We start from the raw sequence: 25,673 nt of genomic DNA on the forward strand, positions 1-25,673 counted from the left end.
ACAAAACTTCAGCAGTTATCAAAGAGTAGTTAAGTAAATTTTATGGCACAGCTACCCAAATAAATAATATATAGTAATTAAAGGCTATGGTCATGAAGACAGAGATTTACAGATGGGTGGCCTGGTACCCTTGCCTACATGTGCCGCAGCCAGGATGGTCATTCTTTCTTCTTCTCTCCATCACCATGGCAATTCCTAGGAGCAGCAGAGGATGCAGAGCCCCAAGGAAGGGTCTTTATTTTTCCGCCTTGGCTCAATTTTTCCCTGCAATTTCCTGTTTGGCAAGGAATACCCCTCTAAGCCCATTTTTCATCTTTAAAATGAAGAAGATAAAGCCTTCTTTACAAGGATTTGTGTGAGTTACTAGAGTGTCAAGTACAGTGCCTGGCTCGTGGCACATATTCAACCAGGGTCTGTTCCCTTCTCCCTCCACCGAAACACATTTCCAATTAGAATGGAAGTCAATGGAAAATTCAGGTTGAAAATTCGGATGATTTCACTTTCTAAAGAATCTTTCAAGAATGCATCTGGTTTGTACATAAAAGGAATATCTCTACCCTCATCTGAATACTGACTGGTCTTTCCAGAAAGCAGGCAGATTCAGGGCTTGCCTTTTAGAAGGGATGATGTAATTGTTTGGGCTTTGTATTTATCAGTCTCCAAGGAAACTCAATAATGAGGAAGTACAAACTAGGTGTGTAACTATGCTGACCTCAGATAAGCTGGGGTGTTGGTTGGCATTACATGAACCAACAGATCTTTTTATTATAGATGAACTCTGCTCTTACTCATTTATCCTCTACTTTAGAATGGCTGGAAGTAAAAGACTGGAAAAATGATGGGTGAGAAGTTTTTCTTACAGTAATAAAGCATTACTAGAATCACAAGAAAAATACAAGGGTTTAAAGTATTTGAGAATTTTTGTAATCTGAAGAGAACTACCTTCAAAAGATTAATACAGGTAACTACAGATTTAAAATGAAAATTCAAATATACTACAAATGAAAACTATAACTGAAATTTACATAATTACCTTATTTACATGAAAATGAGGATTTCAGATAGACCAAGTTAAAACGAAATCATTCCTTGTGTGTTATAAAATATGTAAAAATTAAAATTTAACAATTAAAATTTAACATTTATGGTAAATTTAATGAAGTAGCTGAGAACTCCCAAGGAAACTGAAACTAACTGTGGCATGTTTTAAATTAGTTTGCACAACTGCCAGTGTATAGACCAAGTGCCATTTTACGAACTTTCCTGAGAGGAGTTGTATAGAAGAATATGTTCACATCAGTTTTGAAATGATGCAAAATGATCCTTAAAATGACTCTTGGGATTTTTAATAATTATTTTTACTATCTTAATGGCAAAAATTTTATGTGACTTCGTTTTTGAAATTTTAATGGATTCTATTTGAGAAAATATGACTTATATCCAACCACCCAATTAACACACACTAATATACCAAGTGAGTTCAACTTCATACAAGTTTCTGTTTTATGTATAAAAGATAGCTAGCTATATATTGTATTTTAATTACATCTTAATTCACCATAAAAACTAAATAGTATCCCAAATTTAGAAAAATAAGTTAAATTTCAAATCTTCAACTTGGGTCAAATGCATAACCATCACAAACCAGTGTAAAATTTTCAAAAGGCATTATCAACATACCTAGTTTATCATTACTAATTCATTAATGTATCCAACAGACACATACTTTGAGACAAGTAGCATGTTGGGTGTGAGGAATTTTACAAAAGATGTTCTAAACATCTCTAAGTTTGTCCCTTATTTCAAAAACAATACCCATGCCTTGTAGATTATTTAGAAGAGGCACATAAGGCAGAAAGAAATAAAATCACCTACAATCCAATAATCCAACTACTGAGAGATTTATTCACAAATATGGGATCTTAGGGCAGTCTACTGTCCTGAGAAATTCTATCTGGGTGACAAATTGTACACTATGTACTGCTTTTTTTTATATTAATTGCTGCTTTATTTTAGTAATTTTAAAGTCTCACTAGAAGTTTCACTGTAACAAAAATAGAGATTTCCACTCCATGGCTCATGGAAACCAGACAGGGGCATACAGTGGGGAGAAGCAGGGCTTCCTATTACATATTCCCCGATTTCTTCTAGGCTCTAGGCCTCCAGACCTAAACTTATTTTCATCCCTGTCATGATTCATTTGTTGCTGAAATCCATAACGAGCTGAATAGCTCCTTGACTTCACTGTGATCCTGCCAACCCTTCCCACGCAGGAAGGCTTCCACCGGCTTCCCTTATCGCCTTCCGACCCCCTGCTTCCAGCCCAGGACACAGCGTCACTGCCCTGGGGTTTTCCAGCCCTATCCTCCTGCAGTTCCCTTACGGGAAGAACTGAACAAGAGCCAGATACCAGCAGAGACAGTGAAGGGTCTTATCCCCAGGCCTCCAGGGCAGGAAAAACAGGAATGTGCTGAGCAGTGTCAGAAACGGCAAAGTGCTGGGTGGTGAGAGCAGCGGCAACGATGAGCAAGAACTTACCTGGGGTTCAGAGGCTAAATTCATCTTGTATGGATGACGCTTCCCTTCCTCCGTCACCAGAGGAGACCAGACTTTATGTTCAGATCTGCAACAGATTAACAAAGCTGCTGTTTCACTCATGTAAAATAAATAATATATACCAAAGACAAACTGGAAAAATGCCCCCTCTTTCCTGGACTAGGCACTGAACTAGCACCCTCCCATCAGCTCTACCTTCCATTTGCCACCAGGTTGATCTTTTAAACACCCCAATCTGATAACATCCATGGCTGATGGCTCCCCAGCATAGCCCCAAGGGGCTTCCCAAGCACTTCATCCTCCCTCACCACACTCTGGGTAGCTGACACCAGCAGTGTGGTCTCCTCCATGTTCCTAAGCATGACTCACACTGCCCTATCTCTGCTCAGGATAGAATGGGCTTCTCCTCTATCTCAACCCAGTGTGTTTGGTCCAGACCAAATAACCAACTTATTTGTGAAGCCTGTTTGACCCAAATGAAAATAATGCCTCTTGGCCGGGCGTGGTGGCTCACGCCTGTAATCCCAGCACTTTGGGAGGCTGAGGTGGGGAAATCACTTGAGGTCTGGAGTTTGACATCAGCCTGGCCAACATGGTGAAACCCCATCTCCACTAAAAATACAAAAATTAGCCGGGTGTGGTGGCATACGCCTATAATCCCAGCTACTCGGGAGGCTGAGGCAGGAGACTTGCTTAAACCCAGGAGGCAGAGGTTGCAGTGAGCTGAGATAGCACCACTGCACTTCAGCCTGGGTGACAGAGTGAGACTCCATCCCAAAAAAAAAAAAAAAAGAGAAGAACGCCCCTCTTTTGCTCTTATAAACTATTTTCTTTGTACCAACCACAGAGCAATGATTTTACTTTAGTCTCAGTTTTCATTAGTGTCGTTGTTTCCTCTCTTGCAGGTAGAAAATATTTATACTTATCTTTATTTATTTTATTTATTTATTTTTTGAGACAGAGTCTCGCTCTGTCGCCCAGGCTGGAGTGCAATGAATGGCGTGATCTTGGCTCACTGCAACCTCCGCTTCCCAGGCTCAAGCGATTCTCCCAGCCCAGTCTCCCGAGTAGCTGAGATTACAGGCACCTGCCATCATCCCTAGCTAATTTTTTTGTGTTTTTGTAGAAACAGGGTTTCATCATGTTGGCCAGGCTGGTCTTGAACTCCTAACCTCAGGTGATCTACCCACCTCGGCCTCCCAAAGTGCTGGGATTACAGACTAGAGCCACCATACCTGGCCATACTTAACTTTATATTTGTCACAATGTCTATGCCAGATATACAAGATGTCCCTTTTCAACATGCCGGTAAACAAATAAAAAATCAATTAATCAATGAATGAATGAATGTCCTGAACTCGGGCTTGAAGGAGAGGATTTGGACAAAGATAGAAATGGAGATGAGAATGAAGGGCAGATGTGCTTTTGAGGGGGTAGTAATAACACAGTGTACCTCTCATGGGGTAGGTCTCTGAAGTGTACAAAATATTTTTATATACTCCCCCACACTCGATCCACCTGCCAGTCCTGTGCCACAAAGCAAAAAAAAAAAAGCAAAAAACATACTTCACAGATGAGAATCTAACCAAAGGCTCCATGACAAAGAGCTGTGGCAGCTAAGGTTAGTGAGATAACAGGTGATCAGAATGAAACATCTGAATTTGATGCAGTAGGAAACAGGGAGCCAACTGAGGGTTGAACCAAATCACTTCCGAAATCCTGCCTTTGCGGGACCCCTTCCAAGGCTAAATGAAAGAAGAATGGAAATTCTACCCTAATTACAGCTCCCAAGGTGCTACCCTCATTCATTCTTTTATCCCCAGCGCTCCTTGCTTGTCATGTACCTAAAGTTACACTCAGTACTCTGCTGCTAATGTGTTCAAGTTTTTCTCTGTTATTGCAATCTCCTGGCATGGTACCCACTGCTCAGCACAATGCAGTAGCAGCAGCATCCTAAGGACATTTTTTTTTTTGAGATGGAGTTTCGCTCTGTCGCCCAGGCTGGAGTGCAGTGACGCCATCTCAGCTCACTGCAAACTCTGCCTCCTGGGTTCAAGTGATTCTCCTGCCTCGGCCTCCCGAGTAGCTGGAACTACAGGTGCACGCTACCACACCTGGCTAATTTTTTAATTTTTAGTGGAGATAGGGTTTCACCATGTTGGCCAGGCTGGTCTCAAACTCCAGACCTCAAGTGATTTGTCTGCCTCGGCCTCCCAAAGTGCTGGGATTACAAAGAGAGCCACCGCACCTGGCCAGGACATTTTACTTACTCAAAATTTTGGTTGAGTTGGATCAAGTGAAAATGCAAGTATCTTACTGAAAGAAGCCCACATCATAAGCACCGTGAAAATCAGAGGGGGGCTGGGCACGGTGGCTCACACCTGTAATCCTAGCACTTTGGGAGGCCAAGGCAGGTGGATCACCTGAGGTCAGGAGTTCGAGGCCAGCCTGGCCAACATGGTGAAACCCCATCTCTACTAAAAATACAAAAATTTGCTGGGTGTGGTGGTGCACATCTGTAATCCCAGCTACTCAGGAGGCTAAGGCAGGAGAGTCACTTGAACCCGGGAGGCAGAGGTTGCAGTGAGCTGAGATTGCACCACTGCACTCCAGCCTGGGCAACAGAGTGAGACTCCGTCTCAAAAAAAAAAAAAAAAAAAATAGAGGGGAAATAAGCAATCTGAAGTTCAAATTCCACAGACCTTTTGGCATGCCTATAGTATATACATGGCACTGAGCTAGGAGGTCTGGGGGATTCTGAGATAGGGAAGGCAGTCCCTGCCCACAAACAGCTTCTAGTCAATCAGAAATGAACAAAACGTTTCCATAGGCTTCACCTGGCTACAGTGAGAGTCAAGTTGTCTGTGCAGCCTTTGATTCTGTTCTGAGCTTCCAAGTGTGTCATATTGCTAGTATTTTCCCCATCAATGGCTGTGATTACATCTCCAATACATAAATTAGCTAGAGCCGCCTTGCTTCCAGGAGTGACCTAGAAAAAAAGGGGAAAGCAGGCTAGTTACTATTTGTCTCCAAACCACTAAGTTACCACCAAGTTAAGTATTCACTGATATGGAGCAAAGCCCTGAAAAAGAAAAGAGGGCTGAAATCATAGCTTAAATAATAACAATCATTTATATTATCATTGACAAAGAGGGCTTTTCTAATATGATCTCATTGTATCCCTATAGCAACCTTATGAGAAAGGAGGACAAATAGCAGTCCCCATTTCCAAGACCAGGATCTGAGGCTTAGAAAGACCTATGACTTACCCAGGATCACCCAACTAGTATATTATTATATTACTGGTCCTCCAACTAGTGTATTACTGAGCCAGGAAACAAACCCCGAACAGATCTGATGTCCTTCCCACTGAACCACGTTTGCTTCCTTAAAATTAGTTAACAATTACATTTAAAAAAACACACACACACACATTTAGAGAACATTATATACTATAATACCCTATTTCTTTAAAAATCTTAATAATGTTATATATACAAAAGAAAGTGGAAACACTGCACACTAAATTGTTCACAGTTATACAGTTTTGCAATGTTTTTTACAATAATATTGAATTACTTTTTAATTTAAAAAATTGTTGACCAGGCATGGTGGCTCATGCCTGTAATCCCAGCACTTTGGGAGGCCAAGGCAGGCGGATCACCTGAGGCCACGAGTTTGAGACCAGCCTGGCCAGCATGGTGAAACCCTGTCTCTAACAAAAATACAAAAAAATTAGCCGGGTGTGATCTCAGCTATTCAGGAGGCTGAGGCAGGAGGATCACTTGAACCCAGAAGGTGGAGGTTGCAGTGAGCCAAGATCATGCCTCTGTACTCCAGCCTGGGCAACAGAGTGAGATTTCGTCTCAAAAAATAATAATAATAATAAAATAAAAATTTAAAAAAAAATTGTTAAAAGCAATCAAGGATATCCTAAAGTATGGTAGTATAGGTTTATACTGGTTTAATCTCCCAAAATGACTAGGGTCATTCCCTATAGACGGCTGGTTTTCTGCAGACTGATGCTTCTAAAACCAGTGGTTCCAAATTGACAGATCATTGATGCTTGGGGGAAGCCAATCAATTACTGCAATAGGTCCTTAAATTCACCTGCCTACAGAGCAATACATGCGGACTCAATACATATCACATCTCCTACACTGATGTACAACCATTTTTCAAGTGAATACAGATGCTATTAGAATGAACAAGATCCAAACTCATTTTGAAATAGTACTCACCTCAGAGTACTATCTCTAACCAAGGTATCTGGTTAGATTTTCTAAACTAAGGTATACTAAAAATATTACTGTCATCATCCCAGGGTAAGTTCACAACTTTTTTTTTCCACATTACAAGACCTTCCTGGATGGGAATTCCAAGTCCGCAGGATCAAGGTGGCAGTAACACCCCCAGGCTCCCAGTGCCCACAGGGCTCTGGCCACCCTTTGGAGAAGGCCCTTGACTCTCGGGATCCAGTTGAGGAAGATCTTATGAACACCTGGGTGTCTCCTTATGGCTGAACCACAGGTAACAGGTTCTTCAAGGCACCAAACCAGGACACACAAGTTGGGTCCTAAACCTCAGTATCTGATGCAGTTTTCAGCAGCTACAGTTTCCGATTAGCCCTCAGCGCAGCTAGTGTGGTGCCGCTATTATGGTGCATTCCCCATCAGCACCCTGACCCCAAAAAATGAGGACAAGTTGATCCTTGAGGTCCCTTCTGGCCCGCACATGCTATGACTTTATCAGGCAAAACTCTCCTGGAATGTGGCAGGATGTGGAAACCAGTACCGAGATCCTGACCTCCTAACCTTCCTTTCTGGCTCTCCCATCATTTGTTTACCAGAGATCTGGGTTTTAGGAAACGAAAGCAGCCTCCTGATTCAAGGTTCAGATCGTCCCCTCATCCAGCCACTGGGACAGGACTTTTTATCCAGGCAAGCACAGGCCGCTCTCATTTCAGTCAACAATGAGAGTTAGCTTCTGAGTCATCCAGTGCATGCAATAAAAAAAAATTCCTCCGTTTTCTGACCTGTTGTCCTGAGAAGACTGATCTGGTGCATCTTCATACACACTTCACTGTTACTAAAGGACAACGCAGGCTCAGTTTTTAAACGGCTCTAAGCATCATTTTATTTGGGATTGGCAAGCGTTCTTGACTGACAAACTCTAACTCCAAGGAGAGCAGCCTGAATCAAGGAGAATAATGCCTTATGGAACTCATTTATCATAGCTAAATCTAGCAGTTTCAAAGAGCAGTCCCCTTAGGATGAAATCCAAAATCTTTAACAAGGCCGCTAAAGCCAGTGCCTCCCTCCCCACCCACATCATGCCTCTTCCCCACTGGGCTCCAGCTACAGGGCCTCAGGACTTTCACACCTGCCTTTACCTCTGCCTGATTAACTTCTCATCTTCCAAGTGTCTGTGTAAACAACCCTTCTTCTCAAAGAGGCCTTCCTTCACCTCCAATCTAAGCTATACCCCCACAGTCATCCTTTTTTTTTTTTTTTTTGAGACGGAGTTTCGCTCTTGTTGACCAGGTTGGTGTACAGTGGCGCAGTCTCGGCTCACTGCAACCTCCACCTCCCGGGTTCAAGCGATTCTCCTGTCTCAGCCTCCTGAGTAGCTGGGATTACAGGCTGCACCACCATGCCCAGCTAATTTTTTGTATTTTTAGAAGAGATGGGGTTTTTTCACCATGTTGGCCAGGCTGGTCTCGAACTCCTGACCTCAGGTGATCCACCCACCTCGGCCTCCCAAAGTGCTGGGATTACAGGCGTGAGCCACCATGCCCAGCTCAGTCATCCTTTTAATACACTTGGTTCTTCTTCACGGCACTGGTCACTTTATGTTTGCAAACCTCCTTGGTGGGTTAGTTTGTTTAATGTTGAAAGGCCTACTCAGCAGTAAGGTGCATGAGGGCAGGATTTTGTCTGCCTTCTGTGCTGTGATATTGCAAAAATTTTAACAGTGAGAAAATTATGACAGTTAAAGATCTGGCCTAACCAATTTCATCTTGCCTTTAACCTCCAAACTGTCTTTGGTCATTCCTGGGCATCAGCAAAGCTAACTTCCGGAGAAATTTTAGTGTATAGTTTAAATGATGGTAGCACTTTCCAAAACTAAACTGTCTGAAAAACTAACGAAAGACCACCAGGTTAGGAGGATGAGAGGGGCCTGAATTCTGCTAAGATGTAGGCATAGTTAAATGATTACCAGCCATTATTCCAGAGCTCACAATATTTGCAACTTCCCCAGTTACTCCTGTAAATAACACCCCTATTGTAGAACCTAAGATTGGCCTTTTGCGATGTCCTTTCAGGCTTTTGCATTTCTGACTACCTACTGGATGCCCCCCGACCAAGATGCGAACTCAACACACTGTTTTCCACACCCCTGTGATGGCATGCCCAACCAATCAGCATTCACCTTCCCTAGCCCCCTGCCTGCCGAACTATCTTTGAAAACCCCTAGCCTTCAACTTTCATGGAGGCTGATTTGAGTAATAATAAAACTCTAGTCTTCCATTTAGCCAGCTCTACGTGTATTAAACTTTCTGTATTGCAAATCCCCTGTCTTGATAAATCAGCTCTATCTGGGCAATGGGCAAGAATCCACTGGGCAGTTACAGTATCCTCAACACCCAATAACTGGAACATAGTAGGTGCTCAATAAATATCTGTATAATAAATGATTGGCTCTAAAACACCTAGTGTTGTTAAATATGTAATCAGCCTGCTTCATTTTATCCTTTAAAATGAATTATTTCAAAAACATCAAAAATATTTTTATTTCAAAAATGAAATAATCATTTCCCTCTACACTGCTATCCTGAAGCATGACCACTCACAAAACTCAAATGAGATTGGAACTGGAGAGGTTGAGAAGATGAAAAAGAAGTTTCCTTTCACTTTTTTACGGTGAACTGCTGAGAAGTCCAGAATGTCCAGCATTTGGTTCCAACTGTTTTGTGGGAGAGACATTTCTGCTAAGTATATCCCAACAGGTCCTGGACAAGCTAGAACCAGTCTTAGGCGCCCCAAGCCTGAGTAATTGAGGTCTGGTCATCCTATCTTTCAGTATAATTTCTTTGTTTTTTTTTTAAAGCCAAACTGGTAAGAAGCCAAAGGAAATCTCAGAAAGTCACAAGCAACATCAGATAGGACTTGAAAGAAATTACACATACAGATTAAGTTCACATTCTTTTATGAGCTATCTTTTTTAGGGGAAAAAATTGATTTAAACAAATAATGGGATTTGCCTTTCCAAAGCCCTTTCATATACAATCTCCTATTTGAGATAATAATATGATTACCTCACCACCAACATATTAGATAAACTTTACAGATGAGGAAATTGAGATTCAGAAAAATTGTGAGTGGTTCAAGTTCACACAGCTAAAGGCTGAGCCTGAACTTGAAAGGCTCTCTCATTGCAAATTCCATTCCTTTTTGCTTTAGCACAATGCCACAAGCAGAGGCTCCAAACTCAACTGTCAAAGCCAAAAAAAAAAAATCCAGGAGACTCATCTGCAGTGGCCTTCTACATAGGACCTGGAGTGTCACAAAGTCCTGATGCTGGCTGAGTGCCTCCCTACCACAGGACAGTCACTCCCCTGCCCTGTACTGATCTGGGGCCCAGTAACCCCACCCATTATAAAATTTACAAACCATAACACAGAAGTGACAAGGGTTACAGGAGAGAAGGCCTGTGCCTCCAACACTGGATAGTTCCTGTCTTGAATGGTGGATTCCAATCCTTGCCAAACACTATTTATCACAATCATAATCAAAATGACAGCCATCAGTTAATGAGCGTTTAGGTACCAAGCATGACAAAGTCTTTAGCAAGGGTTAACTCACCAATATTCACGTGATGCTACCAGACAGGCAATGTTATCTGCATCATTACAGATGAGGAAATGGAGGAACAGGGGTTAAGCAGTTTGCCTGAGGTTGCACAGCTGGTGAGCGGCAGGCCACAGCAGGCTCCAGAGTCCACCCACTTAACCAACTAGGCCACACTATCTGCTCTAATTTCCTCCTGACCATCAAGTTCCATCAGAACCAGCTCATAATAGAGTCAGCTTCAGTTTCCTAAAAAAAAAAAAAAAAAAAAAAAAAAAACTTCTGGGCCAGGCATGGTGGCTTACGCCTGTAATCCCAGCACTGTGGGAGACCAAGGTAAGTGGCTCGCCTTGAGCTCAGGAGTTCGAGACCAACCTGGGCAACATGGCGTAACCCTGTCTCTACAAAATACAAAAAAAATTTGCCAGGTGTGGTGGCACACGCCTGTAGTCCCAGCTACTCAGGAGGCTGAGGTGGGAGGATAGCTTGTACCCAGGAGGTAGAGGCTGCAGTGAGCTGAGACTGTGCCACTGAACTCCAGCCTGGGTGATAGAGTGAGACTTGTCTCAGAACAAGAAAAAAAAAAATTATATACTCACTCCCATTAGTTCAATGAACGTGCCATTGCCAGCCTTTTTCCCCAGAGACCATACAACTAGATCACACAACTCTTGCTGCATAAGAATAAATGGGGACAGGCACAGTAGCTCATGCCTGTAATCCCAGCACTTTGAGAGGCCAAGCACTTTTGGGAGGTCAGATGGCAGGCAGATCACATGAGCTGAGGAGTTCAAGACCAGCCTGGCCAACATGGTGAAACCCTATCTCTACTAAAAATACAAAAATTAGCCAGCTGTGGTGATGCACACTGCCTGTAATCCCAATTACTCAGGGGGCTGAGACAGGAGAATTGCTTGAACCCAGGAGGTGGAGGTTGCAGTGAGCCGAGATCACACCACTGCACTCCAGCCTGGGCAACAGAGTAAGAATGTCTAAAAATAAAATAAAATAAAATAAAACAGTAAACGGGTTTAGGCACAACAATTTCCACTAATGAACAATCTATCATTTTCTGCTCAATTCATTCTTGTGTCCCTCACTCTTCGTCCCCACCAGCACCCCAGGCAGACACTGCTTGCTTAGAGGCCAACATGTTCTCCACTCCAAGTTCATAATGCATCTTTAAGACCTGTCCACTGCTGCCAGTCCTGAGCACATAAGAAGGTGTTTGAAGTTTAACTGCACTTCTAACTGGTGTAAATAAAATCGGATGATGATGTAGCTCTCCCACTTTCTTCAACTTACATTTAAATAACTACATACCTAAATGACACTACTATCATACAGAACTGGATGCATACCCATGACAAATAAAAAGATAACCCTCCTCCTCAGTGATAATGGCATGTTTCTACTTCATCCCTCCCCTGTTCCTTCTTTCTCTCTCTGTTCATTCACTTATCAGACATCCTTATGTACATTCTGAAAGACAGTGTAACTTGTTCATTAAGATGTGGTTTCTGGAGTCAGATGGCCAGGGTTCAAGTCCTGCCTGGCTTGTGAGCTAAGTGTCCTTGGGCAGGGTATTTCACCTCTGTGTAAACAAGGATGCACCAAGGATGAAAAGAACAGCTTTGACATCAGAAGGCTGTTGCGAGGATTACATTAGGCAATTCAGGCAGAGCCCCCACTGTCAGGGCTCCAGAAATGTGAGCTATTGTTTGTAGATTCCAGGAACCACACAAGGCACTGGAACTCAGCTGTGAAAAGGGTGGTGCCTGCCATCAAGAAGCTCACAGTCTCCTGGGGGGAGACAAGCATGTACAACAGCTGATGAGTGTTGTGCTAGAACCAACAAGGTAGTAGGGGCCTAAAGGTGGAATCACGGAACACTCCCTGGAGGAGGTGCTGCTTAAAACTGTGCAAAGCCACAAAAGGAAAAAAGCAAAAGGAAAGAGCATGCCAAGTCTCAAAAAAAAAAAAGAAAAGAAAAGAAAGAAATTTAGCAAGCGAAGGGAGAGGAAGAGGATGAGGCTGTAGATGTAAACACAGACTAGGAGACCAACAAAGAAATTGAAACATAGCATCTGACATTGACTGCCCAGTCAACTGCCAAGAAACAACCACTGAGCCTTAGCTCTGCTGAGATTAAGGTGACTGCATTTGACAGATACTCTAACCGACGCTCAAAGAAGCAAACCCATTCAAGGGGTCACCCGTTTTGGGCCTCTAGGTCAGCCATTCTGTGGCTGGCTTTCCCTAGCAGGTCTTTCAGAAGGCAGTCCTACTTAAAAATCACATGTTCTACTGACAGCTAGATGGGGTTCCTTTAACTCTCTGGCTCAAGATTGAAAGCTAGAGGCCTGTGAAATGGACCCAGCCAACAGTCTTGTTTTTTTTCTTACATTTAAATTACATGCCAATATTTATATATCAACAAAATCACTCAAACCCCTAGATTCGCAGCTTCTTTAGAAAAATCAGAAAATCTGGCAATTCTGGGCCTAGATTCCCATATGGCAACAATCAGCACCAAATGAGGAGCCTCTGATCCTCTATATGAGACACATGCTCTCCATTTAGCCACAGGCTCTACCATGCTCTACTGCCCCAGCCACAGAAACCCAGTACCTGTTACCATTTATGATCATTCTTGCAGCTATTAATTTTCTGACTATCTCACCTACTCAAAACTCATTTATTATGGTATATAAGTTTCTAGCCATTTTTTCCCATTCTAATACACACATATAATTATACTTTATACCACAATATAACTACCTTCTTGACTCTTCTAATACAGTATGGGGAAAAAATAATTGAGCAGAGCTTACTGGGTGAGGCAATTCAAACCCCAACTCTAACGCTTTTCCTCTCTACTGCCTTAAAGGGTGCCAGTTTTTAGGGGAAATCATTTTGGAGGTCTGGTCCACATCATTTGTTGATTCAACCAACACGCTGAGCTCTGCATGCTACACACTGGGCTGAGTCAGAGTTTACTGTGATTACTCAGGGGAGCAAAACGTTGTCCCTGTGCTAGAAATGGTTTGGACTAGGGATTATAATTTGCCTTCTGTAAAATTACTAAAGCAGAAATGGATGCAGCAAGAAAATGTGATTCTCAAACAAGCCAAGCAACATTCTTATTTAATTCTCATAGGCAAAGAAACAGTTTTGGTGGGCAAAGAAAGAAAAGATAGCAGAGATCCCACTGGGGACCCACTGGGATTCAGCGATGAGGAAAAATATTATTTACCAGGCAACTTCCTGCTGCAAACAGGCCATATGCTTCAATTCTAGGCAACATAAACCCAATGCCAAGTTCTTAAAAGTTGCATTTTTTAAAATGTTCTTTTACATATATAACATACAGAATTTAACAAAAATGAGTAAGTATGAGCATATTAGTCCTTTTTAGTAAATTTTCTTTTTAAAAAAACAAATTTTAGGCCAGGCATGGTGGCTCACACCTGTAATCCCAGCTCTCTGGGAGGCCAGGGTGGGTGGATCACTAGAGGTCAGGAGTTCAAGACCAGCCTGGCCAACATGGCAAAACCCCGTCTCTACTAAAAATACAAAAAATTAGCCAGGTGGTGGCAGGTGCCTGTAATCCCAGCTACTCAGGAGGCTGAGGCAGGAGAATCACTTGAACCGGGGAGGCAGAGGTTGCAATGAGCCAAGATCACCCCACTGCACTCCAGCCTGGGCAACAGAGCGAGATTCCATCTCCAAAAAATTAAAAAAAAATTTAAAAACTCTTGTGTTGCCTCCTAGCCCCTTGATACAAATGAGTTTGTGACCACTGGCTCAGTTTAAAAGTTATGGAAAGCATGATTATATGTAGAAATACTTTATGACTAGGATTACCAAATGCCCTGATTTGCCCAAAACAGCTTAACTATCAAGACCACCCCATTTCATTCGCAGAAGTACTCCAGCCTGGATAATAAACAGTACTGTTGCCTTTTTGACAGAGGTGGGGGTTTTAACCAAATATTTGTCAAATGGTTTAAATGGTTCTCAGGCAGAGGTTTTTGCTTTGTTTTATTTTTTTCTTTTTCTTGAGGGAAAAACCGTGTCTATTCAGAAGGCTTATTTGTGGACAGGACTACAGGTCAATTTCCTGACTCTTTATGGAACGTTGTTAACCTTGCCCCTTGGAGTTGGCTCTAAACCTCAGGCCAGAAATCAACCCCACTCACCAATACTCAGCCAACTGTGATATTTGCAAGGATGAGGCAATGGTTTTCAAACAGGTTGGTCATCAGATCCCATGGGGGCAGGGATTCAAAATATAGATAGAGCTCCACAACCCATCTCAGATCCACCAAAGACAGCCTATACAGTGAAACCCAAGAACCCATACCTTTTTAAAGCTTCCCAGAAAATGTTAATGCTCATCAGGTTTGGAAACACCAAGAGAGATGATGACTATGACTATCTTTTCCCCTTAAACTCTCTCCCTGAATGAAGTTAAAGTCATCAGGTAGACAAAAAGTAATTAGACCCTAAAATCTCAGCTCCTCCAGAAACACCTTCAAGGGCAGAACTTATACTCCTATAAAATACATACAAAGCCCTTGAAAGGAATATCCATTAGAATAGTATTCCTCTATCTCTTACCAAAACAGACTTAAAAAAAAAAAAATAGGCCAGGCAGGGATGGCTCATGCCTATAATCCCAGTACTTTGGGAGGCCACAGCAGGAAGACTGCTTAAGCCCAGGATCTTGAAACTAGTCCGGGCAACACAGTGGGACCCTGTCTGAACAAGAAATTAAAAATTAGCCAGGCATGTAGTCCCAGCTACTCAAGGAGACTGAGGTGGAAGGATCGCTTAAACTGGGAGGAAGTGGAGGCTGCAGTTAGCTATGATAGCACCACTACACTCCAGCTTGGGCAATAGAGCAGGATGCTGTCTCAAACAAAACACAAACAAAAAAATACAGCCCCTGTAATGTTGGTTAACACCCCTGAAAATGCTATGCAAATGAAGCATTGCATAAGTAATTTTGTTGTTTTTTTTAAATAGAGATGGGGTCTCACTGTGTTGGCCAAGGTGGTCTTGAACTCCTGGCCTCAAGCAATCCTCACACCTCGGCCTTCCAAAGTGCTAGTTTCACAGGCATGAGCCACTGCGTCCAACCAGTAGAAGTATAATAACTCCAAACAAGATATCTAAATAACTCGACGTGGGTCCTATTTTCCCTTGGCCAGAAAACTCACAGCTAAATGTAGTGTGCAATTACAGAACCAACTGATTTAAAGTTCCTGGCACTTCTCTCTCTTTCCTCTTCCATGTTCCAATTTTTTGTTAAATCTTATATGTGTTCTTGTGTTTTAAATATTGTAAATGTGTAACTAAGTGAAAGACAAGCCTAAGACAAGCCTGCAAGTAAGTGAAAGAGACAGCCTAAATAACGATAGTAATAATTATATACAACTGGGATAAAGAAATGTGAGATTCAAGTTCAATCGCAATGCTACATGCCTTTAAGCATAATCTCCGCTGATTTAACAGTTGTGTCAAGGTATTTGGGTACAAATTTAACAGATTCTAAACTGGGGATAAAGCAGGACCCAGCTCTGTAGGATGCCATTTACATGTGGAATTTGAACTCTCTTTAGTCAGAATCTTCTGACTCAGTATGTTTGTGAGCCGAGGCTGTGGCACAGACTTCACAGCCATATTATGGCTGCAGAAGCTGTATGCATTTACACAGGGTGACCTGAAAACATAACACTGTTTTAAAATGTTCTTGGTTAGTCTATAACCATTTTCTCAGGGAAATGAGGCAATAAAATAGGGTAGATGCTTGTAGATAAGTTGCACCTTAATCCAGCTTCACACTATGCATGGTGCAAAAAGAAGTTATTAGTGCTAAGGGGTGACAGTTCAAAGAGACGTGCTGCTCTCTCAGTCTGAAAGACCGACCACCATTTCTCAGACAGGAATATAATAAAACAGGTAGCCAAATAGAATACTCTGACTAAATTCTTAAGAAGTCATCGAGGCCAGGCGTGGTGGCTCATGCCGGTAATCCCAGCACTTTGGGAGGCCGAGATGGGCGGATCACTTGAAGTCAGGAGTTCAAGGCCAGCCTGTTCACCAACATGGTGAAACCCCATCTCTACTAAAAATACAAAAAATTAGCCAGGTGTGATGGCGCACGCTTGTAATCTCAGCTACTTGGGAGGCTGAGGTGGGAGGATCACTTGAACCCAGGAGATGGAGGTTGCAATGAGCCGAGATCATGCCACTGCACTCCAGCCCAGGCGACAGAGCGAGACTCCGTCAAGAAGTCGTCGAGTTCCTCAAAAGTTTCCAAACAAGCTCCTATGAACCCTACGTGCTTTTAAATAGCTCCAACAGCTACCACCCATAACCCAAAGCCTAAACACTCACTAAACCTTGAGGGAATTACTCTCTCTGACTCAGTATCTTCATTTATCAAATGAAATTTATAATGCATCAACCTCATCAGGTTGCTGGAAGGCTTAAATGAGACTGCATTTGTAAAGAGTTCAGAACAATGCCTGGCACGTAATAAACACTCAATATATAGTAGCTACCATTAATATTTTTAATATTTAATAGTTTAATAGTACCACTAGGCTCTCTCTATATATCATCTTAATCCTCACCACAACCTTTGAAGACAAGCGCTATTATTCCCACATTGCAAATGAGGACACTGAATTTTCAGGGGTTAACCTGTCCAAGAACATACAAGCTAGTAAATGGACAAGATAAGGTTTGAACTAGATCTAGCAGATATCAAAAATGTATTTTTCCCTTGACATTAAGATGTCTTTAATTCTTGATTTGTTACAGTAAAAATAAGGCAGAAAGCACAAAGCAATGAAGTCCCAATAGTTCACTGAGATATAGTAATTTGGTTTTAGAAATGCTACGTGTGCGGAAAAAGTCTGGAAAGGTTTGCAGCCAGCTGTTCACTGTGTTTACCTCTGTAAAGTAAGACTGGGGAAGCCTTTTACCTTATGCTTTCTGTAGGTTTATATTGTCCGATCTTTTAAACAATTACGCGGGCTTCTATGTAACCTTTACTGAAGGATGACATGTATACAGCACAAATGGTAACGATACAGCTGATTGAATTCTCACATACAGAGCACACCCAAGGAAACAGCATGGGATAAAGAAGAGGACATTACCTGAACTGCTAAACCTCCCTGTGCCCGCCTTCCGTCACTGACCTTCCGGCAAAGGTCTGCCATGATCCTGACTGCTAACACTGTAGATTAATTCTGTCTAATTTTATGTAACTGGAATCACACAGTATTTACTCTTCACTCTTAGGTATGGCCTTTTTCTCTGTGTGTGTGTGTGTGTGTGTGTGTGTGTGTGTGTCTCCTTCATGTCACTGTGCATAGTTGTAATTTCTTCACTCTTGTTGCTGTGATGTTTTATACCATATAATTACACCCACTACTTATCTATTCTATTGCTGTTAGACATGTGAATCGTTTCAAATTTGGGGCTATTATGAATAGTGTTGCTTGGAAAATTCTCAAACTTGTCCTTTAGCACTCATGTGGACCCAGTTTCTATTGACTATTTAACTAGGAGAACTGTTGGGTTATATGGTATGGGTATGCTCAGCTTCAGAAGCATAAGTATTTTTTATTATTTTTTTAAAGAAATGGGTGCAAACTATTTGCTGCATCAACCATATTTAATCTATCTGTATGCATTTTTTTTTTCTAGATGGAGTTTCGCTCTTGTTGCCCAGGCTGGAGTGCAGTGGCGTGATTTCAACTCACTGCAACCTCCGCCTCCCAAGTTAGAGCAATTCTCCTGCCTCAGCCTCTTGAGTAGCTGGAACTACAGGTGCCTGCCACTACGCCTGGCTAATTTTTGAATTTTTAGTAGAGACAGGGTTTCACCATGTTGGCCAGGCTGGCCTCAAACTCCTGACCTCAGGTGATTCACCCACCTTGGCCTCCCAAAGTGCTGGGATTACAGACATAAGCCACCAAGCCCAGCCTCTGTATGCATTTTCAATATCTTTATCTAAACTAGGTCCTATCTATGTTCTTATTGTCTTACTTGATACGAATGGTCGTGTCTATAAAAATTAGTCCCTGAGTGTTCAGTAAGGAATCTGGCCTCCTACAAGACCGCTGTGTTCTTCACAAAATCATTTTTAGTATTTATGGCATTTACCAAGGAGACAGTGTATTACACATGGGAAAGTGCACCACAGAACTCAGCCACGGATGAGCAGCCCAATTTGCCCAGGATGTGGCTAACAAGAGTATCAATAATCACACAGGGTGCTAACAGCCATACAGGAATTACCTTTTTTGTCTTAGGTTTCATGGGTATATTCGGTTTTGGACTTAGCTTGGCTACCGCAAGGTGGAACTGTTCACTGCCTGGTCATCTTCATCTACCACAAGAACCATTCCCAAATGCCCTCCTATCCCCCACAAGCAGGTCTTTCTCTAGCCAGTCCTTCCACTCCTCTGCTCTTGTTCTTCACTGTCCAAGTGGGCATGGAACCTCATAACTGGACTGTAAATTCTCCCAGGTGGGGCCATGACTTTCAGTTTTTCAGGAGGGACAGGGAAGGGAGGTGCTGCTTTCTGAGGTGCTCTGAGCTGAGGCCACAAGGCAACTGGAGAGCCACCCCAACCAACCTCAGGAGAATGAGAGGCTCCAGGGTGTGGAGCCCAGGAGTGTCTTATCCCTCATGTTGAAGCCTGCACCACCCTTAGCACTTTTCAGAGCTGTGTGCTGGGTTAACACTGTTAGCAATGAAATATTGACAGTTATGGCTTATTAGGAGGCAGAATATAGTGGTTAAAGCTGGCCTGGAAGTGAGTCTGCCTGGCTTCACTTCCCAGCTCTGCAATTGTCTGACTTTGTGTTCTGTGTCCCTCTGTCATGGGTTGTGGGGAATACAGAAGAAGATAATGTAAGTGCATGCTTAGCACAGAGCAGGCACTCAAAAAATGTTAGCTGTTATTAATATATTACTATGACATAGAGATTAAGACTACAGGCTTGGAAGCCGGACTCCCCAGCCAAACTCCAGCTCTACCACTCACTGCTATATGATGCAGGCAGTGTACTTAAGGTCTCCAAGCCTCAGTTCCCTCATCTGTAAAATGGGGATCTTAATCCTACCTCACAAAATACGTGTGAAGATCACTGAATATATTATGGTCTTAGAATGGTGCCTGGCATATTAAAAGTCCTATATATGTTTTAACTATGGTTATTACTGCAAGCAGATCAAATAAATATTTCTCACACAAATCTTTCAAATGTAAATGGATGCTGCTGTGATTAACAGAAGACAAATACATCTGAAACATTCCTGAAATCACAGTGTTTTCTAAATCAACTTATGATTGAAGGTACAACTAATGCCATGAGAGACTAGGACACTCTAACAATAAAAAAGTGGGCTCTTGGCTCATGCCTGTAATCCCAGCACTTTGGGAGGCTAAGGTGGGCAGGTCACTTGAGGCCAGGAGTTTGAGACAAGCCTGGCCAACATGGCGAAACCCCATCTCTACTAAAAATACAAAAATTAGCCACATGTGGTGGCTCATGCCTGTGATCCCAGCTACTCAGGAGGCTGAGGCACAAGAATCGCTTGAACCCAGGGGGTGGAGGTTGCAGTGAGCCGAGATCATGCCACTGAACTCTAGCCTGGGCAACAGAGCGACACCCTGTCTCAAAAAAAAAAAAGTAGCTCTCATATTCAAAGGGTATGAAAACCTCTGGGTTTGCTTGCTTATTATTTTATTTTATCTTTACAGGGAATATTATTTTATTTTATCTTTACAGGGAACTGAACCCAGGAGAAGACATATGATTTTCCCAGGATCACCCACCAAGGTGCTCCGGACTAGAGCTCAGCTTGAGTCCCTGCCCTGGACATTGTACCAGGCCCTCAATTAAAGTCCTGGAAGCTTCCCCCAGGCTTTCCTCTGAGACCTACTGGAAGCGAAATAATCCTTTAAAAGTTAGTTTTCTGACACAACCACTTTTGCTCCAGTCTCTATCCTATCCTTTACAAGGAAGTTGAGTAGTAAGTCAGCCAGTGAGAAATTATGTAAATTCAACCAAATTACCTAACCTGTGAGCACCTGAGCTTTTCTGTTTGCAAAAGGCAAAGAATGCTAGCTTTCCTCTCCTCTGTGGAGCAAGAGTTAAGGCATGGCCTAAGAATGTGCCAGTCCTATCCTGATCCCAGTACACAGCAATTCCTTGGTGCTTTTCCCAGTCCTGGTCAGCCTAGGAGAATATGACCCAGACGCTTAGATGACACTCTCCTCTCAGTCATCTACCTGGCTGCAATACCCTAAAGCCACTGTTCTTCCCTCTTGCCTCCTCAAACAAACCAGCAAGGTTGGCATCAGGAGTTTAGGGAGGGGAGACTATCTGGTCAGAGGGTGATAATGTAGTATGGGCTCAGGCATTCACTTACATGTCATTCTCTTTGGTTTGTCCTCTTCCCCCTCTCTCCTTAAGTCAGCTGTGAGCAGCTGAAGTCGCTAATATTTCCCAGGTATCAATTTCACAGACCAAGGGCATGCAGCACAATGGCCATTAAAACATAATGACCCTTTTTGGACATTTCCTGCTTTTCATAATCTGACAGACAAACCCTTCTCTTTCAATCTTTACGACATGATGTAAAATCTATCTGAATCCGGAAATACCACTCTTAAAAATCAGAAATGACCCTCTGGCCACAGTAACCATTATTAAGCATCCCTTGGGATACTTGAGAAAAAGCATAAGCATTTGCCACAGAACCGCTCAGCTCTTAGCAAAGGGTTCCCCAGGACTCCAGAGACAAATGAGCAACTCCTCCAACTAAGGGCATCCCTTGATCTTGGCCTCACCCTTTCCTGTCTTTTATCAGTTGCTGGGAGAGAAAAACAGTCAACATAAACTGAGTTGCAATGTTGGCCTGGGTATTTCTCTGAAGGCTTCCCTTGAAAGTAACTAGAGGGAAGGAGAAATTAACATGGAAAATTTTTTTAATTAAAAAAATACCTCAAGGAAATGGGCAAGTGTTGATTTGAAGCAGGAACTGACAGAAAAAAATATCAGAGAACAGTGGCAAATGTGTGGCTGGATCATCAGGGAACACAAGGCAAGAGCACTAAACGAGAATGTGGGTAAAAGAAGCTAGCCTATGTCCACTTAAAGTTGGAAACCTGGGTTGAAATTTTAAGTTGATAACGATACTAGATGAAAACATTAAGGAGCTAAAGAAGCTGTTCACACACACACACACGTGTTCTGTATGAGTCTGTTCAGAAACAGGCAAAATTAAGCTATGGTATTTGGGATACCTAATTTAGGTGGTAAAACTATGAAGAAAAGCAAGGAAGGGATTACCATAGGTCAGGATAGCGTTACATTTAGGGAACTTTTGGGTGCTGCAATATTCTATTTCTTGACTTGGGTAGTGATTATACAGATGCTTGCTTTATAATCATTTGCTGTGCATTTGTATTTTATGATTTTTTATTCCACAATAAAAAATAAGTTAAAAAATAAAAAAATTGCAAGTACATAAGATTAGCATTATATTAAGAAGCTTTAGCAGTTTAGCAAAAGACTGGAGCCAATACCACAATAATTCATGCAAGAGAAAGCAAACATGGTTATTTAAATAAAAGGCACTCCTCTCCCAGCCTAATTTTATGGTTTGCTTTGGTGTGGAGACTCAAAGTCTATCATATACAAAACTATACCAGCAAATTGCCCAGGATGATAAATAATGTAGCATACCTACCAATCAGAAAGTGTGTACAGCTCTTTGTCAGTGCTCACATTTCCTCACTATCACTATTTACGGAGCACTCTCACATACCTTAACTCACAGCCAAGGGCTGGTGCTATCCCCACTGCAGAGGTTTTTTTTTTTAAGTAGCCTCAGACAGTGGAAGATTCACCCCAGGTACAGCTCAAGCAAGAAGACACTGGACCAGCACCAGATCTCAGATGGCCACACCAGGGTCCCTTTATGACAATGACTTTCCCATTCCCATGAGGTGAACAGGCTCACAATTTTTCCATGTATTAATAAGGAGCTGAAGAGAAACAAATAAATTACTGTCAGCATGAAAATGTTACCTCTTCTGAGTCACTTCCACTTTTCAATTAAAGCACCTGCCAAGGGCATTATAAAGATTAGTTTCCATCACTAGACCATGAACACCTTGAGAATGGAGCTGTGCCCTCTCATTTCTGAGGCGTTTGCACAGTTTCTGGAATATGATACGTGCTCATTAAACACGTGCACACGCCATAAATAAATAATATAAATAATAAATGAGTGAATATATGAAGGTAAAAACCAATGAATTCACAGTGTGGTGTTTTCCACCCCATTCCATCATTCACTCATGCATTAAGACTTTTAAAAGCAGCTAAAGTGAAAGGCAGTAACTGCCCTTTTAACAGATTGCCAATACATCCTCCACTACTTAAAAAAGGGTTTCATGTCATATATAAATCTCAGAAGTGGAGAGGGCTGACAGGTTAATTATAGACACAAAGAACAGGGACAAATGGACTATGAGGTAAGCGAGTTGAAATGTGCAGACACAATGTCCTCCCTGGACAAGCATTTATTAATAAGCCTGCAAGGATTTACCCAGCCCGGCCAGGTACAGGTCTGCTACCAGGCTCGGGGACGATTCTGGGGAAGGCACAGTTCCTGCGCTTGAGGAATTAGGCTGGTGGCTGGAAAGGCAGTGTGTACCTTTGAGAATAATCAGAGGTCTCTGTGGGACGAGGCAAACAGGTGGAAGATAAGGCCCAAAAACTGGCCCGCCTACTCTTTTAGGGGGGTGAGATAGAGAAGACCTCCTCACTGGGCCAGGCCAACCGGGAAAGAAGCATGGGTAGGACTGTGGCTGGCAGACAAGTCAAGAGGAGGCCACCAATTCTTCTCCTGCACCTCCCACCAAACTCCTTCAGCTGCTGGACGCAGGAGCTTGAGTCAAAAGGATCCATAAGGATATTTCCCTTTCTTCTCCACCCTTCCCCCAACCCCAAGTGAAAAAGAAGGATGTTTAGAAAGTCTGGGAGACAAGCTGAAGGGCAGCTTCAGCAGGCAGATGAGCCCAAGAATGGAATGTGCCGCCTACAGGCAAGGAGTGGCCATGGGTGGGGAGAAAGGGGACTTCTTTTTCTCCCTTTCCTCATTCGAGGTACTTACTGAGTCTCTTCTTGGTGCCCAAGCACTGAACGTGACATCTCTTAGTGGGACATCAACCTGTGTTTGGCCAGATTAAATGGCCAAAGCCCAGACCTCTGAACACTGAGTCTGGGTCTCCCTGGGGGTTTCACTTTATTAGGGGGGCAATGGTTCTGGTGGCCCCTGATTCAACGTGAGTCCTTCTAAAGATCCGAAGCCCCTCTTAGATTTCAAGCACCTCAACCCCACCCCAGGTGGACACCCCATCGCAGTATCTACTCATGCCCTGAGAAAAAAGGGCTGGTGCGGGGAGGGGAAAGAGATAATCTGGGAATGCTAGGAAGAATGACGGCGGGGCCACGTTCTGCAGAGGGGAGAATGACCAAGAGGGTTTACTTGAGTTTGTTTGTTGTGTTTATTTCCCGAATCCAGCACATTCTCCAAAAGCCATTCGAGGGGCGAGCCTCGGCCGTGGGTCAAGTCCAAAGAGCGTGTTTCGGTTGTTTTTTTAGGTTAATCCCACTTGCCCCCCACCCCAGTAAACTTCCCACCCACCCCACCTCACTTTCCAGGTCTTTCCTGTTGCGTTCGGCTGCACTGCGATCTGGGAAGAAGGGAGAAGTGCCATCTCCCAGCGCGCGGGATCTGCGGGGACCCTCGTCCCCTCGCTGGTTGACAAAGAACTAACACCCGCCCCGCCGCGCTTCCGGGGCCAAAGAACGAAAACTGCCTTCTTTTTTTCTGGCGGACACGGAGCGCGCCCGCGGCGGGCCGACCAGCCCGGGAGCGCAGCCTCCGCGAAGGGGCGGCGGGGAGCGGCGGGGCCCGGGCGCGCGGAGAGCGCTCAACTAACAGCGCACCTGGACGCGCCCGGCTGCGGTTCCGACTCCGTCCCCGACCGCGCCCGCGGGGCCCCAGTCTCCGCATATCACCTCCCATAGCGCCCCGCTTCCACGCACGTCCCAGCTGCTCTTACCCGGGAAATGGCGAGAGGCTGCTCGAAGTCCTTGCCGCCCACGAGGCGGAAGCCCCACGGCCCCGGGCCCTGGAGGTCTATCTGCTGGGTGGTCATGGCGCGGCTGTGGCGGGCGACGACCCGCGGGGACAGACGGGCAGGACGCGCGGAACAGCTTGCAGGGCACCCCCGGCGGCTGTCGGAGAAAGAGCGGCGCGGCGCGGGCCCGGGGAGCCTGGGGCTGGCGGGGGCAGGGCAACCGCGAGGGCCAGGGCGGGGGCGGCTCCGCCCAGGCCGCGTAGCCGCCCGCCGCCCCGCCCGTCCTCCCGCCCGCAGCCGCTCCCCGCCCTGCGCGCCGGCCTGGGGGCCCTGGCCCGGAGTCCCGCCGAGAGAGCGCGAGTCAGATGCGGGGCCGGGGCTCTCAGCAGCTCTGCCCGGGACCCCACACCGCCTCCCTCCCTCCTGTACGCACGGCCGCACCGCGGCTCTCGGGCCCGGGGCGGGTGCTAGGTGAGAGGGAAGCAGGTCCTGACAGCGAGACAAACTCGCGCCTCGTGCTTTGTAAAACGAGAAATTTGAAGTGCTGTGCCAAGTCAGCCCTCTGAGGTCGGCTCCGACTTCCCATTTGCTTTTTGTAATCGGTAATGATGTTTAAAAGGTGCTTTCGAACGATCTCATTTGATGCTGAGGCAACCGGGACGTTTAGTCCCATTTTACAGATGAAGTAACTGAGTCTGCTCAGTAGGTGAGAAGACTTGCCCGACGCTACACCACTCGTCAGCATCTGGACCACTGCCCGGGCCCAGTGCTGCAGAACCCCATCCTGGAACTTTTATAATGCTAATGAGACCATCACTCAGGTTATAACTGAACTTCAAGGCCTTCCTAGAAATCTTTCCTCCAGGCTGGAGTTCATGGTAGGTTCTGACCTCAACAGTTCAAACCTCAAGTTTGGGGCGGGCCAAGGGCCAAGTCAATGCAAAAGAAGAGCTGAGTCCGGGACCTGGATTCCCAGCCTCCCACCAGCTTCCTAGCCAGGCTCCCCCTGACGCCCTCCCGGTGGAGTGCATTCTCCACGCCGGACCAGACCATTTCTCATGCTGTCCATGGCGTC

The 25,673-nt window shown here is 44.1% G+C and overlaps 1 protein-coding gene across 1 annotated transcript in view, besides 5 other annotated features; it reads right to left on the reverse strand.

Annotated features, from left to right (window-relative positions):
* The window catches only part of PDLIM1 (PDZ and LIM domain 1), a 53,432-nt gene extending 28,668 nt beyond the window's left edge, over positions 1-24,764 (reverse strand). The window contains exons 1-3 of the mRNA NM_020992.4: positions 24,581-24,764; positions 5,394-5,545; positions 2,539-2,623 (exon numbers count right to left, since the gene is read on the reverse strand). Coding sequence (NP_066272.1) covers positions 2,539-2,623; positions 5,394-5,545; positions 24,581-24,676 — 333 coding nt within the window. The 5' untranslated portion in view covers positions 24,677-24,764. The remainder of the gene's footprint in view (positions 1-2,538; positions 2,624-5,393; positions 5,546-24,580) is intronic.
* Positions 23,281-23,600: an enhancer, noted in NCBI's record as "active region_3794". NCBI's record gives its function as "activates an Ori minimal core promoter by ATAC-STARR-seq in GM12878 lymphoblastoid cells {active_cell/tissue: GM12878}" and the evidence as "EXISTENCE:reporter gene assay evidence [ECO:0000049][PMID:35858748]".
* Positions 24,322-24,431: a silencer, noted in NCBI's record as "silent region_2640". NCBI's record gives its function as "represses an Ori minimal core promoter by ATAC-STARR-seq in GM12878 lymphoblastoid cells {active_cell/tissue: GM12878}" and the evidence as "EXISTENCE:reporter gene assay evidence [ECO:0000049][PMID:35858748]".
* Positions 24,452-24,551: a silencer, noted in NCBI's record as "silent region_2641". NCBI's record gives its function as "represses an Ori minimal core promoter by ATAC-STARR-seq in GM12878 lymphoblastoid cells {active_cell/tissue: GM12878}" and the evidence as "EXISTENCE:reporter gene assay evidence [ECO:0000049][PMID:35858748]".
* Positions 24,602-24,991: a silencer, noted in NCBI's record as "silent region_2642". NCBI's record gives its function as "represses an Ori minimal core promoter by ATAC-STARR-seq in GM12878 lymphoblastoid cells {active_cell/tissue: GM12878}" and the evidence as "EXISTENCE:reporter gene assay evidence [ECO:0000049][PMID:35858748]".
* Positions 25,042-25,121: a silencer, noted in NCBI's record as "silent region_2643". NCBI's record gives its function as "represses an Ori minimal core promoter by ATAC-STARR-seq in GM12878 lymphoblastoid cells {active_cell/tissue: GM12878}" and the evidence as "EXISTENCE:reporter gene assay evidence [ECO:0000049][PMID:35858748]".

This window comes from Homo sapiens, chromosome 10 (assembly GCF_000001405.40).
Source record: "Homo sapiens chromosome 10, GRCh38.p14 Primary Assembly".
NCBI classification, from domain to species: domain Eukaryota; kingdom Metazoa; phylum Chordata; class Mammalia; order Primates; family Hominidae; genus Homo; species Homo sapiens.